Source organism: Homo sapiens, chromosome 15 (assembly GCF_000001405.40).
Source record: "Homo sapiens chromosome 15, GRCh38.p14 Primary Assembly".
Lineage (NCBI taxonomy): Eukaryota > Metazoa > Chordata > Mammalia > Primates > Hominidae > Homo > Homo sapiens.
In genome coordinates, this window is record NC_000015.10 from 44,320,174 (window position 1) to 44,334,011 (window position 13,838).

Below are 13,838 nucleotides of genomic sequence, written 5' to 3' on the forward strand. Positions count from 1 at the left end.
ATATTTGAACTTTTGTGACTGTCTTTTTTCATTTAGCATATGTAATGTTTTCCAAGCTCATCCATATTTTATCATGTTCTAGTACTTTATTCCTTTTTTCTTACTGAATATCAACATTATATTTCATTATTTATTTATTTTTTGAGATAGGGTCTTGCTCTGTCTCCCAGGCTGGAGTACACTGGTGCAATCCTAGCTCACTGCAGCCTCAAACTCCTGGGCTCAAGTGATCCTCCTACCTCAGTCACCTAAGTAGCTAGGACTACAGACATGTTCCACCATGCCTGGCTAATTTCATTTTTTATTTTCTTTAGTTTTTGTAGGTCTCACTGTGTTGGCCAGGCTGGTCTTGAACTGCTGGCCTCAAGTGATCCTCTTGCTTTGGCCTTCCAAACTACTGGGATTCTAGGCATAAACCACTGTGTCCGACCTAGCTGTATATTTTAAACTTCATTCTTCAAAGCACCCAGGACTCGGGGGGGTGAAAAAGAGGGACCCCCTAGACTCCTTCTCTTGCTTCACCTAGAACATTTATATTTTCATCTATTTATGGACAAACTTTTATTTTAAATTTGAAAGTCGTGGGCTCTCAGATTGAAGAATACACTCTACCTGGGACTGAAAGATACTCCATGGTCTTTTTACTCCATCTTTCTTTCCAACTCTTCTTTTCATGTGCTCCAGTCAGACAGTATGTTGGTGGAGTCTTGAGGTATACCTCATGCTTTCTTGCCACTGTATCTTTTCTTATACCATCTCCTCCATCTGAAATGCCCCTTTCCCATCTGTTTAAATTTTTACCTAACTTTCAATGCCTAATACAGATATAATCAATTCCATGAAGTTTTCCCGGATCTCTGGATTCTTGTAGTAATTATACTGCTTTAGATGGTGCCTTGTCTAATTTCTTGAGACTACTCTCATGTTTTCTTAGTTGTTTTATACTTTCCCATTGAGTGGCTGGACATGGGATGGTGGGGGACTGGGGGTTGGGGGTGACTATAACAGATTGCATGGGCCAGGCATTGTGCCTCACTCCTGTAATCCCAGCACTTTGGGAGACCAAGGCAAGAGGATTGCTTAAGCCCGGGAGTTCAAGAACAGCCTGGACAACATAGCAAGACCTCATCTCTACTAAAAATAAAAAAATTAACCTGGCATGGTGGCAAATGCCTGTAGTCCCAGCTATCAGGAGGCTGAGGTGGAAGGATCGCTTGAGCCCTGCAGATGGAGACTGCAGGGAGCTGTTTTGCCACTGCACTCCAGCCTGGTCTGCAGAGTGAGAACATGTCTCAAAAAAAAAAAAAAAAAGGGGGGGTGGGGGGATAGCATGAGGGAGATCTTTGTGATGATAAAAGTATTCTGCATCTTGATTGTGATGGTAGTTATACAAATCTGCACATATTTTAAAATGACATAGAGCTATACATTCATATTGTACCAATGTCAGTTTCCTGGTTTTGATGTTGTACTGTAGTTACATAAGATGCACCCATTGTGGGAAATTATGTGAATTGTGTGAAGGTTACCTGGGACCTCTCTTTGCTATCTTTGCAATTTCCTGTGAATCTGTAATTAATTTTAAAATAAAAAGTTTAGGTTGGCCATGGTGGTTCATGCATGTAGTCCCAGCACTTTGGGAGGCCAGCAGGAGAATCACTTGAGTCCAAGAGTTCAAGACCAGCCTGGGCAACATAGCAAGACCCCGTCTCTGCAAAAAAATATATTTTTAAAAATTAACTGGGTATTATGATACATACCTGTAGTCTCAGCTACTTGAGAGCCTGAGATAGGAGGATAGACTTGGGCCCTGGAGGTCAAGGCTGCAGTGAACCGTGATTGCATCACTGTACTCCAGCCTGGTTGACAAAGCAAGACTCTGAAAAAAAAAAGTTTAAAAATATATTCTTCAGGCCAGGCGTGGTGGCTCATGCCTGTAATCCCAGCACTTTGGGAGGCAGAGGCCGGCAGACCACTTGAAGTCAGGAGTTCGAGACCAGCCTGGCCAACATGGTAAAACCCCATCTCTACTAAAAATACAAAGATTAGCTGGGTGTGGTGGTGCGCACCTGCAGTCCCAGCTACTTGGGGGCTGAGGCAGCAGAATATCTTGAACCTGGGAGGTGGAGGTTGCAGTGAGCTGAGATCGCACCACTGCACCGCAGCCTGGGCGACAGAGTGAGACTCAGTATAAAAAAACAAATCATTTTTCCATGGTGCTACTTCTGATTAATGTGAATCTGCCTGTGCCTTCCAAAGTAAAGTTACTTTGGGGTAGACAAGAGATGTATTTTTAGTGATATTTTAGTTACATTTTACAATTAGAACAAACTTGTCTAAAGCAATAACTGAGACAGAGTGGTTAGTTCCCTGTCTACGAGGTCCTGGCTTATCCAAGGTCTTATTTTAATTTTTAAGTTGACTGGTAAGCCTTTGAGTCATGTTTTCGTATACTTTTAAGTTCTTAGTATTCTTATGTACTGGCTCCTAGAAGACAGTGACCATAGCTCTGAGTTTTAGAAAAAAATCATTATGTGATGTTCAGTTCAAACTTTAAAACTTTTAAAGTTGTTACATTGTTTATCAATTGAAATGAATTTTCTTGTGCAAATTTAAAGTAAGCATTACAAGATCAGAATTATTGCTGATTTTTTTTGGAAAGAGGTAGAGTATAAATAAATAACCAGAGTTTTTTGTTTGCATTTATGATCAAGCTCAAAGTGAATATGAACCAAAAAAATGAACAAAACTACATATTTTTTAGTAAAATGAGAACTTAATTTTTTTTCAGGTTAAACTACAGAACAACATATCGTATCAGATGGCAGACATACATCATTTAAAGGGTAAGAACCTTAATTCCAGATTAAAGATAAACCAAGGTCACTAAATGCCTAAAATTGTGAAGAATTAAGAAATAGTAAATTAGCCTAGTGAAATACAATTTTCTGAACAAACTCCTCTGATGGTAAAACATTTATCCTTTTGCCTTAAGATATAATAAATTATTTAATGATGCTTTATATATGATAAATCCAAGTTAAAATTTGAGATCTGTGTCTTAACCTTGAGCTACAGACAGGGTTATGCAATGAAATGTTCTTAAGAGAATACTCAAAAAAAAATTGAGCTGTAGCTTCAGAAGCCATCAAATTTCTAGGGAAAAGGTGAGAAGTGTTCCCTCTGTACTGTGTCCAATCTGCTAAATTAATTCATTCAGGTCTAGGGATGCTTTGGATAGAGCCTCCAAGCTTAAGGTTTTAGATACCCTGGGAACAGAAAGAAACCTGGAAAATAGATAAATATATAATAAATAAATAATAATAAATATAAAAATACACACACATATTTTTACTTGGATGAAGTGATAAAGAGGTACTACAGCTTTTATGGAGAAAAAAAAAAAGCCCTGCAATCTGCTTATGTTACTTCATGCCATAGCTGTTAGCCTTTGAAGTTTGGGTTCTGAGGAACAATCCTCATCTCCCTCACACCCTTTGGTTATAATACTGTATTTTAAAATTTTGCATGCATTGTCTCTAGGTTTATGTATGTGGGTAGTACATGCTCTCTAGCTTCAAAAATATCCTTTATTCTATTATCCTTTTGAGCCTCTTTGGATATACTTAGATAATCTATTTTTATTGTCCTCTCGAAGTAGCCAACCTTAGCTGGCTTTGTAATGTAGTAAAATTTTTCTCCTTACCTAGCACAATCAATAGGAAGTGTTTTTGTGTGTTGTAACCCTAAAATAAGTTGTTGATTTCCTATTATCCATGATTTAGAACAGCTTTGATTTTCTGTTAGAAATGCTTTCTGGGTCATCACATGGGTTTTTGTTGCATCTGTGTCCATGTTCTCTTTTTGACTCACCAAAATATATTAGGATGACACAGAAGATGCCACAGTGTCAGTGCTGCTTCCAACTTGCAATTTTTACAAATGCTTTCACTTGTCATCAAAGTATACTTCTTATTAAATGTTAAGAAATACTATTAGGGCTTATTAAAGCAGTAACTTAATGCTTATTAACTGTTTATTAAATAGATCAGTTGAATAAGAAGTCCTGTGGCTTCTGTTAGTATGTGTCAACAAAAATGACAACCTGTGTTACTGAGTAAAAATCTTTATTGTACCATATGTGTTGGAGTAGATCTTGAGATATTTTGAAATTGTGTATGATACTCTTCAGCAGAGAAAAAGGTCTTGATTTGTATGTATAGCTATACAACTTTTGGTTTTGAAGCTTGGGCTCTTAAATTTGAATTTAAAAATTTAAAATTGAAATTCAATAATGTGACTTTTGCAACTGGAATGATTTCTACTGAAACAAACTTCTTGAAAACTTGCCTTTTATAGGCAAGTTTTCTTTGAAATTAATATCTGCTATAGTAGAATTAATAGACACTAAGACACTTGAGATGGTTTATATTTTCTTGGAAATAAAGGAAAGTTGGTTTTTTCAATCATTGAGGTAATAAATTGACATTCTACTATCAGATTTATTTTGATTAGCTTACCTTGTTTTTATGCCTGTTACTGAAAGAAAGTTCAAAGTCAAAGTTTTCTAGAAGTAATTTTCTTTTTTTTTTTAAAGCTGGCCCCAGGCAACCCATTTCTTACCTATCCCTAATCTTTTGAAGTTAAACTAAGGGAGTACAGCCATGTCTTTCTATAACATAACTGGTGTTGCTTTCAAAGATAGAGCGTCCTGTACAATCAACCTGACTCGTGTTAACTTACTCTAAGAGTTCTGCTACGGTGACCTGGAGCAGCCACGCTAGACAGAATATCTCTGGGTTCATATAAAGAAAACACATGCCAATCAGTCAAAAGTAAAATTGATTTTTTTTAACCTTTATTTAAGTTCAGGGGTACATGTGCAGGATGTGCAGGTTTGTTACATAGGTAAACATGTGTCATGGGGCTTCATTATACAGATTATTTCATCTCCCAGGTATTAAGCCTAGTATCCATCAGTTATTTTTCCTGATCCTCTTTCTTCTTTGTTTTGCTTTCTGGTCTTCTTACTTTTCCCCTTGCAAATCTCTGTTTTGACCCACTGGAAATCACCAATTACCTCCCTGCTTTATGATCTTTCTCTGTATTCAAATAGGAAATAATCATATTTTACATGGGCTAAAACTCATATTAATGTTTTATTTTTCTTTGTCAATTGTATTTTAAGTCTTTTATCTTCAATTACAAAGGAAAATTTTATTTCCTGATAGATGAATTTCAAATACCATCAATGGGAAGCTTTGTGGGGGGACAGAGAAGCCATCCAAGAATCTTAAAATCATACTAAGCCTCAGGTTCATTCTGAAGCTATTTCAGGTATTTTACAGCATAGCCTGAATCAGAAGGGACTGTAATCTTTTTGTTCCCTTTTTCCCGAGGAGAATGAGTCCGAAAGATCACCAATTGAAGTCTCTTTCTGGTAGTTGTTAAGTTTTGTTTGTTTTTTAGTTACAGTTTTTAAATTTAGCTTTCAGTTCTAGAAACTATCCAGCCTGAGCACAGGTTTACTGAACTAGCTAGTTTGATCCCTTAGCCACAAGGCTTTTTGCTACTGCTTCCTACTGTGATCTCATTGTCTCTATAGAATCAGCATTCATAGCTGGGGCCAGGGTTTCTGGTACCTCTGGCCTGCTGTATCTTAGGAGATGGAGACAGGGATCAGGCAACAAGCTGAAAGGGTTTTTTATGGCTACCTGGCCACCACAGATCCATCACTTTTATTTGAGATGGGGGGTAAATCAACCATGTTTACATATTGGAGAATTAATATTATAAAAAGAGAAATTTGGCTGGGCACGGTGGCTCACGCTTGTAATCCCAGCACTTTGGGAGGCTGAGGCGGGCAGATCACAAGGTCAGGAGTTCGAGACCAGCCTGGCCAACACAGTGAAACCCTGTCTCTACTAAAAATACAAAAATTAGCTGGGCACGGTGGTGGGTGCCTGTAATCCCAGCAACTCAGGAGGCTGAGGCAGGAGAATCGCTTGAACCTGGGAGGCAGAGGTTACAGTGAGCTGAGATCGCACCACTGCACTCCATCCTGGGCAACAGAGCTAGAGACTCTGTCTCAAAAAAAAAAAAAAAAAGAAAGAAATTTAAAATGTGGCTTGAATATGCAAAGATAATGATTAACTACAAATATTTTATATGAATCATTGATTTTTTCATACTTGATTATTATACAATAGTTATTATGCATATTGTTAAGCATTATGTGTCTCAGCAGATGTTTATGTGACTTAAATTTTTATTCTTCGTTATTGCCACAGTTATAATTCCACAATAAAATTTAGAAAGTGTAGAAAAAAAGTATATGTTCAAAATCCTACTGTCAGACACATTCACTGATAGCACTTTGATATATTTTTATTCTAGTCTTTTTTTTTGCATGGATGCAATTATATGTTTACATCTGCTGTTTAAAAACATCTGCTTTTTATTTTTATTTTTTTATTTATAGTTTTTTTTTTTTTTTGAGACGGATTCTCGCTCTGTTGTCCAGGCTGGAGTGCAGTGGCATGATCTCGGTTTGCTGTAACCTCCGCCACTCGGGTTCAAGTGAGTCTCCTGCCTCAGCTTCCTGAGTAGCTGGGATTACAGGCATGCGCCACCACACCTGGCTAATTTTTGTATTTTTAGTGGAGATGGGATTTCAGCTTGTTGGCGAGGCTGGTCTCGAACTCCTGGCCTCATGTGATCCACCCTTCTCGGCCCCCCAAAGTGCTGGTATTACAGGTGTGAGCCACCGTGCCCAGCCAACATCTGCTTTTTTTTTTTTTTGTCTCGCTCTGTCACTCAGGCTAGAGTGCACAGTGGCGTAATCTCGGCTCACTGTAAGCTCCACCTTCTGAGTTCAAGTGATTCTCTTGCCTCAGCCTCCCAAGTAGCTGGGATTACAGGCTCAGACCACCATGCTTAGTTAATTTTTGTATTTTTAGTAGAGACATGGTTTTACCATGTTGGCCAGGCTGGTCTCGAACTCCTGACCTCAGGCGATCCACCCGCCTCCACCTCCCAAAGTGTTGGGATTACAGGCATGAGCCACCACGCCCAGCCCCAACATCTGCTTTTTAAAAACAGCCAGGCATGGTGGCTCACGTCTGTAATCCCAGCACTTTGGGAGATTTAGGCAGAAGGATCGCTTGAGCTCAGGAGTTCGAGACCAGCCTGGGCAAAATAGTGAGACCATCTCTATAAATACACGTATATATCTATATCTCCCTTTTTACTCAGGAAAGTGGCTGTATATATATCTCCCAAGTATTTTTGGAGTGCTTTTAGAGGAATAAGACTAATTCTGTAACCCTTCTGTAAAAAATAGATGTTATAGTATTGGTACATTATGGCTAGATGTTATATTTTAATCTTAATAGCTGTTGCTTATACAGTATAGGCCCCTGTTTTCATTTCTAAAAATTATCTTAATACTACTTTTGCTTAACTGCTAAGGCTGTTAGCTGTTTTTAAAATCACCTATCTGTGAAATTAACATTCACTCTTTTCCGCCTGCATTTCTTTTGTCTGTAGGCTTAGATCATGAGGGAATGAAATCTAGAACATGTGTGGCTGGTGATTATGGATTAAACATTTACAAACAAGTGTTTGGCCAGGTTATAATTTACTATCCAGTTTGGAATTTCACATGATTCATTTCCACTAAAAAAATTCAGTCCTAGTCCAGAAATTATGAGCTTTGAAAATGGAATTTTGGGATATGTAGAGCTACCATCCATAGCCGAACTAGAAATGTATCTAAAGTGATTGGCACCTATGTTGGTAGTCGAATGTGATTTAAAATGAGAAAGAAAACTTAAAATTTGTACCCATAGTACTTTTTTCCTACTTTAATAAAGCAGATAGATTTGAAGAGATAGGTAGTTTTTTGTATTGTCTCCACAGCTTAGCATGTGTCTATACAAAGTGTAACAATGTGTAATTTAAAGAATATTTTGGGTTGATGTGAAAGCCACTGAAGCTATATTTTTTAAAAAATAAATGTTGCCGGTCAGGCATGGTGGCTTATGCCTTTAATCCCAGCACTTTGGGAGGCTGTGGTGGCCAGATTGCTTGAGCCCACAAGTTTGAGACCAGCCTGGGCAACATGGCTAACCCATATCTACTAAAAATACAAAAATTAGCCGGATGTGGTGTTGCACACCTGTAGTCTCAGCTGTCTGGGAGGTTGAGGTGAGAGAATCACTTGAGCTCAGGAGGTGCAGGTTGCAGTGAGCCAAGATTGCACCACTGCACTCTAACCTGAGTGACAGAGCAAGACCCTATCTCAAATAAATAAATGAATAAATTTTATTGACCATGAATGTGTTACAAAAGGATATTAAATGTGGTGTTTGTTATATAATTTAATTTCCTGGGAGTATTACTAAAGAAATTGAGAATTATGTATAATTAAAAAAACATCCCATAGCTTCTGAATAGGAAGCATTACAATGAGTGAACTTGATTCCTTTGGTTCTTACCTTGGGTGGATAGAGCAACTTGCTGAGCTTCGTCAGGAATTTCTTCGACAAGAAGACCAGCTTCAGGACTATAGGAAGAACAATACTTACCTTGTGAAGAGGTTAGAATATGAAAGGTAAGATGTTACATGCAACATATGTTTATGAATCTAAAATATTTGTCCAGCTTTTGGACTCAGTTCATTTCTTTCTCTCTGACTTTTGTTTCCCTTTTTTTCTCTTCTTTCATTTTGTTAAGCCTTTTAAATTCCTTTTCTATTATCTTTCTTTAGCTCTTTGAAATCCAGACTCTTTTATTTTGATAAATTAAACAGCATGAAGTATCTCTTAGAGGGCATGTTGAGTTTGTGTATGTTGTAGAATTCATTGTGAGAGAAAATCTTACAAGCTCTGAGTTTTATTAGATGTGGCAAAGATGGAAAGAAGATTTGTGATTCTTTTTGACGGACATCCAGAAGATGAAACCAGCACTGGGAGATGTTCCCAGAAGAGCTGAGGGACTGAGTGCCGGCTGCTCTTCCTGCTCTGCATGTCAGCCCTCTTGCTGATACCTCTACACTTGGTGATGAGGTTGGGGATCCTCTTACAGGCCTTTCTAGCAATCACGCCTTAAAACTTTTATTATATTTGTAATCAATTTTATGGTAAAAGATATTTTTTAGATTTGTACACCAAAAGTTAGAAAGATTTGCCATATTTTAAAGCATTTTGTGTCCATTTCTGACTTCTTACTCTTGTAGGTTATCATTGTACATTTACTTAAATATATGTATTTTAACGTAACAGTATTCAGTATTTTTCTGCATGTCTATAGGATTAAAGATTTAACGTATGTACAGGTAATATATTATTCTAGCATATTAATGTACCAAAACTTCTTTAGTCTCTTCCAATTGTGGGACCACAGTAGGAGTTTTCCTTTTCTCACTTTAAGACTATCACAGGCTAGGTTATGGTGGTTCACACCTGTAATCCTAACACTTTGGGAGGCTGAGACTGGAGAATCATCTGAGCCCAGAAGTTAAAAGACCAGCCTAGGCAACATAGTGAGACCTCTGTCTCTGAAAAAAATTTTTAAAAATTAGCTGGGCATGATGGCGTATGCCTGTAGTCCTAGCTGCTTGGGAGGCTGAGGTGGGAGGATTGCTTGAGTCCAGGAGATTGAGGCTGCAGTGAGCCATGATGATGCCACTACACTGTAGTCTGGGCAACAGGGTGAGAACTTGTCTTTTTTTTTTTTTTTTTTGAGATGGAGTCTCTCACGTCTCTCGCTCTGTCGCCCAGGCTGGAATGCAGTGGCGCGATCTTGGCTCACTGCAAGCTCTGCCTCCCGGGTTCACACCATTCTCCTGCCTCAGCCTCCCGAGTAGCTGGGACCACAGGTGCCCGCCACCACGCCCGGCTAATTTTTTGTATTTTTAGTAGAGACGGGCTTTCACCGTATTAGCCAGGATGGTCTCGATCTCCTGACCTCGTGATCCACCCGCCTCGGCCTCCCAAAGTGCTGGGATTACAGGTGTGAAGAACTTGTCTCTTTAAAAAAAAAAAAAAAAAAAAAAAGCTGAGTGCAGTGGCTCACGCCTGTAATCCCAACACTTTGGGAGGCTGAGGCGGGTGGATCACCTGAGGTCGGGAGTTCAAGACCAGCCTGACCAACATGGAGAAACCCCATTTCTACTAAAAATAGAAAAAATTAGCTGGGCCTGATGGTGCATGCCTGTAATCCCAGCTACTTGGGAGGCTGAGCAGGAGAATTGCTTGAACCTGGGAGGCAGAGGTTGTAGTGAGCCGAGATCGCGCCATTGCACTCCAGCCAGGGTGACAAGAGCGAAACTCCATCTGGAAAAAAAAAAAAAAAAAAAAGACTATCACAGCTATAAAAATGTCTATGCAAAAAAGATTTCCCAAAACTAGCTGGGTATGCTGGCATACACCTGTGGTCCCAGCTACTTGGGAGGCAGAAGTGGGAGGATTGCTTGAGCCCAGGAGGTTGAGGCTACAGTGAACCATAATCATGCCTGCACTCCAGTCTGGGCAACAGAATGAAACCTTGTCTCAAAAATAAATAAAAAAATAAAGATTTCCCCTCCCCTTGTTATTTCAGTAGTATATTTTCTCAAATGTAGAATTCCTCTAAAAGAATGATTTACCAGTTTTGTTGCTTTTACAGCATAGATGAAAGGTTGCTTTCTAAAATGATTGTACTCATTTATAATGTAGACATTTCCCCATAGCCCTACCAAATTTGGTTTTAATTCTAATTTAATTTTGTTAGTATAGGAATAAGATACTACTATATATATATACATATAGGAAGTTGGTGGGTTTTTTTGTTTTGTGTTTTGTGTTTTTCTTTTTTTGAGACTGAGTCTGTTTCTGACGCCCAGGCTGGGAGTGCAGTGGCACAATCTCAGCTCACTGCAACCTCCACCTCCTGGGTTTAAGCTATTCTCATGCCTCAGCCTCCTGAGTAGCTGGGACCACAGGCACGTACCACCATGCCTGGCTATATTTTTTGTATCTTTAGTAGAGACAGGGTGTCATTGTGTTGGCCAGACTGATCTCAAACTCCTGGCCTCCAGTGATCTGCTTGCCTCAGCCTCCCAAAGTGCTGGGATTGCAGGTGTGAGCCACCCTGCCTAGCCACATATAAGAAGTTTAATTTGCATTTTATAATGGTGAAAGTTAACATTTTTCTATATGTGTGTTAACTGTTTCTTTTTGCATGATTGGTGTATGTGTATCCTTTGACTACTTGGCTAGCAGAAAGTCACCATCTTTATCTGTTTTGCTGCTGTTCACTTTCTCCTGATGGCACCAGTCTATCTTCTTTATTAGTTTCTTTCGTTCCTAGTATTCTATGGTTTAGCCTTTTATTACAGTGTTAAACTACTATTGGATGAATCTTCTGCTGCCACTTCTTATCAGCTCTCATAATTCTAGCTTTCCTCATCTGTTACTATAAATTGGTCTCACAGTTTTCTCTTCTATAGTATTTTTCTCTTCTGTGATTGAAGTTGGTTTTGAAAGTTTTTTTTTAATAGATGCAATTTATGGAAATAATAGGAAAAGAATTGTTTTTATCTTTGTAATTTCTGTTTTCTCAATTAGCTTTATCAGTATTATCTACCTCCTATTACAAGTTCAAGTATTTTAAAAGTTTTGATTGTGAGCTATTTGTATGCTCTGTTTTTTCCAGCCCACTCTCCCCTGCTAACTGAGTGTTTTATCTTTCTTATGTATGTGTCAACTTCTGGACAACTTTGAGAATCCAATCCAAGATAATATAATCTAAAAGAATGACTTTGTAATTTAGTTTTCAGTGTGGACAGCAGATGAAGGAATTGAGAGCACAGCATGAAGAAAATATTAAAAAGTTAGCAGACCAGTTTTTAGAGGAACAAAAGGTAAATTTTAAAAATATACTTAAATCCAAATATTTTTATTATAAATCATGGTAATTTAGAAATTAAAATTATAATTTTGTCACAAAACACTATATTTTAAGTTTTCCAGCCAGCCTAATTCCAAAAGTGATTTACAATGGCTTTATTTCTGAGTAAATTAAACATTTGCAAAAATATAATCTTAATTCTTAAAACTGGTCGGGCACGGTGGTTCACGCCTGTAATCCCAGCACTTTGGGAGGCTGAGGCGGGCGGCTCACTCGAGGTCAGGAGTTCAAGATCACCCTGGCCAACATGGGGAAACCCCATCTCTACTAAAAATACAAAATATAGCCAGGCTTGGTGGTGTATGCCTGTAATCTCAGCTACTCAGGAGGCTGAGGCAGGAGAACCGCTTGAGCCTGGGAGACGGAGGAGGTTACAATGAGCCAAGATCACACCACTGCACTCCAGTCTGGGCAACAGAGTGAGACTCCGTTTCAAAAAAAAAAAAAATTTAAATTAATTTTGAACCAAAATATCCATCTTTTTAAAAAAATAATTTTTGTTGTTAATATATTTCTCAGATTGTAAAGTGGGCAACTTTTTTACTGAAAATCAACTACTTCCTTTTTTATACATTTGAGAAATAGAAAAAAAAGAAACACTTTTTCCTTTATCATCAGTCTCTGTTATTCTGACACCCTTTCCTAAAGCACAGAAATGAGACACTAGCCACTACAACCAATTTGATTCATACTTTTTTTGGGGGGGGCAAATTCTTTTATTAATTCATTTTAAGTTAATATGTATTATGAAGATTCTTTTAGCAATAGAGGAAATTGTCTGAAGATTACTAATTATTAAGGACATGATTCATTTTTTTTTGTGTGTGTGATGGAGTCTCGCTCTGTCGCCCAGCTAGAGTGCAGTGGCGTGATCTCGGCTCACTGCCAGCCCCGCCTCCTGGGTTCACGCCATTCTCCTGCCTCAGCCTCCCGAGTAGCTCGGACTACAGGCGCCTGCCACCACGCCCGGCTAATTTTTTGTATTTTTAGTAGAGACAGGGTTTCACCATGTTAGCCAGGATGGTCTCGATCTCTTGACCTTGTGATCCGCCCACCTCGGCCTTCCAAAGTGCTGAGATTACAGGCATGAGCCACCGCGCACAGCCAATTCATTTTTTTATACCTTGTAATCTTACCTAACCAGGCATGATTTTTATGAACTCTTGTGATTTAAAGGAAAAAAAGATTTAATAGTGAAAAGTATTTGTTTTGCTCTTTGGTAGCATCTCAACTAAAGGACTAGAAGTTAAGGATATCAGGTTTTCATTCTTAGCTTTTTCACAATTTTATAGTAGGATATAGAGGGTGTCATTTCTTTCTCCATTTCATTTTTTGAATCTACAAAGTGGAATACCTGCTGCCTATCTGCAGTCTACTTTGAAGAGGTGTTTAAGGATGGATTGGTGGACGAAGGCAGGCCTGAGTGAGCTACCATAGTAGAGGCATTGAGGGCAACCAAAAGGTATTATTGAGACACTGGAGGGTCAAAAGAACATAATGGAACACAAAAGGAAGGGGAAGAGAGGTTTGCTGTTGCAATTGTGTCATTATAAGCGTAGTATATAAATAATGGGATAAGTTTGCTCTCTTCTATTCTCTTTTTTTTTTTGAGATGGCGTCTCACTCTGTCACCCAGGCTGGAGTGCAGTGGCGTGATCTCAGCTCACTGCAAGTTCCGCCTCCCAGGTTCACACATTCTCCTGCCTCAGCCTTCCGAGTAGCTGGGACTACAGGCACCTGCCACCACGCCCAGCTAATTTTTTGTATTTTTAGTAGAGACGGGGTTTCACCATGTTAGCCAGGATGGTCTCGATCTCCCGACCTCGTGATCTGCCCGCCTCAGCCTCCCAAAGTGCTGGGATTACAGGCGTGAGGCACCACGCCCG

General features: G+C 38.9%; 1 protein-coding gene across 3 annotated transcripts in view; it reads left to right on the forward strand.

Annotated features, from left to right (window-relative positions):
* The window catches only part of GOLM2 (golgi membrane protein 2), a 127,040-nt gene that overhangs the window by 31,455 nt on the left and 81,747 nt on the right, over window positions 1-13,838 (forward strand). For all 3 annotated transcript variants that reach the window (NR_157849.2, NM_138423.4, NM_177974.3), the window contains exons 2-4: window positions 2,792-2,846; window positions 8,512-8,614; window positions 11,815-11,905. Coding sequence is in view for 2 of the 3 variants with exons in the window: in NM_138423.4 (NP_612432.2) it covers window positions 2,792-2,846; window positions 8,512-8,614; window positions 11,815-11,905 (249 nt within the window). In the remaining variant the exon portion in view is untranslated. The remainder of the gene's footprint in view (window positions 1-2,791; window positions 2,847-8,511; window positions 8,615-11,814; window positions 11,906-13,838) is intronic.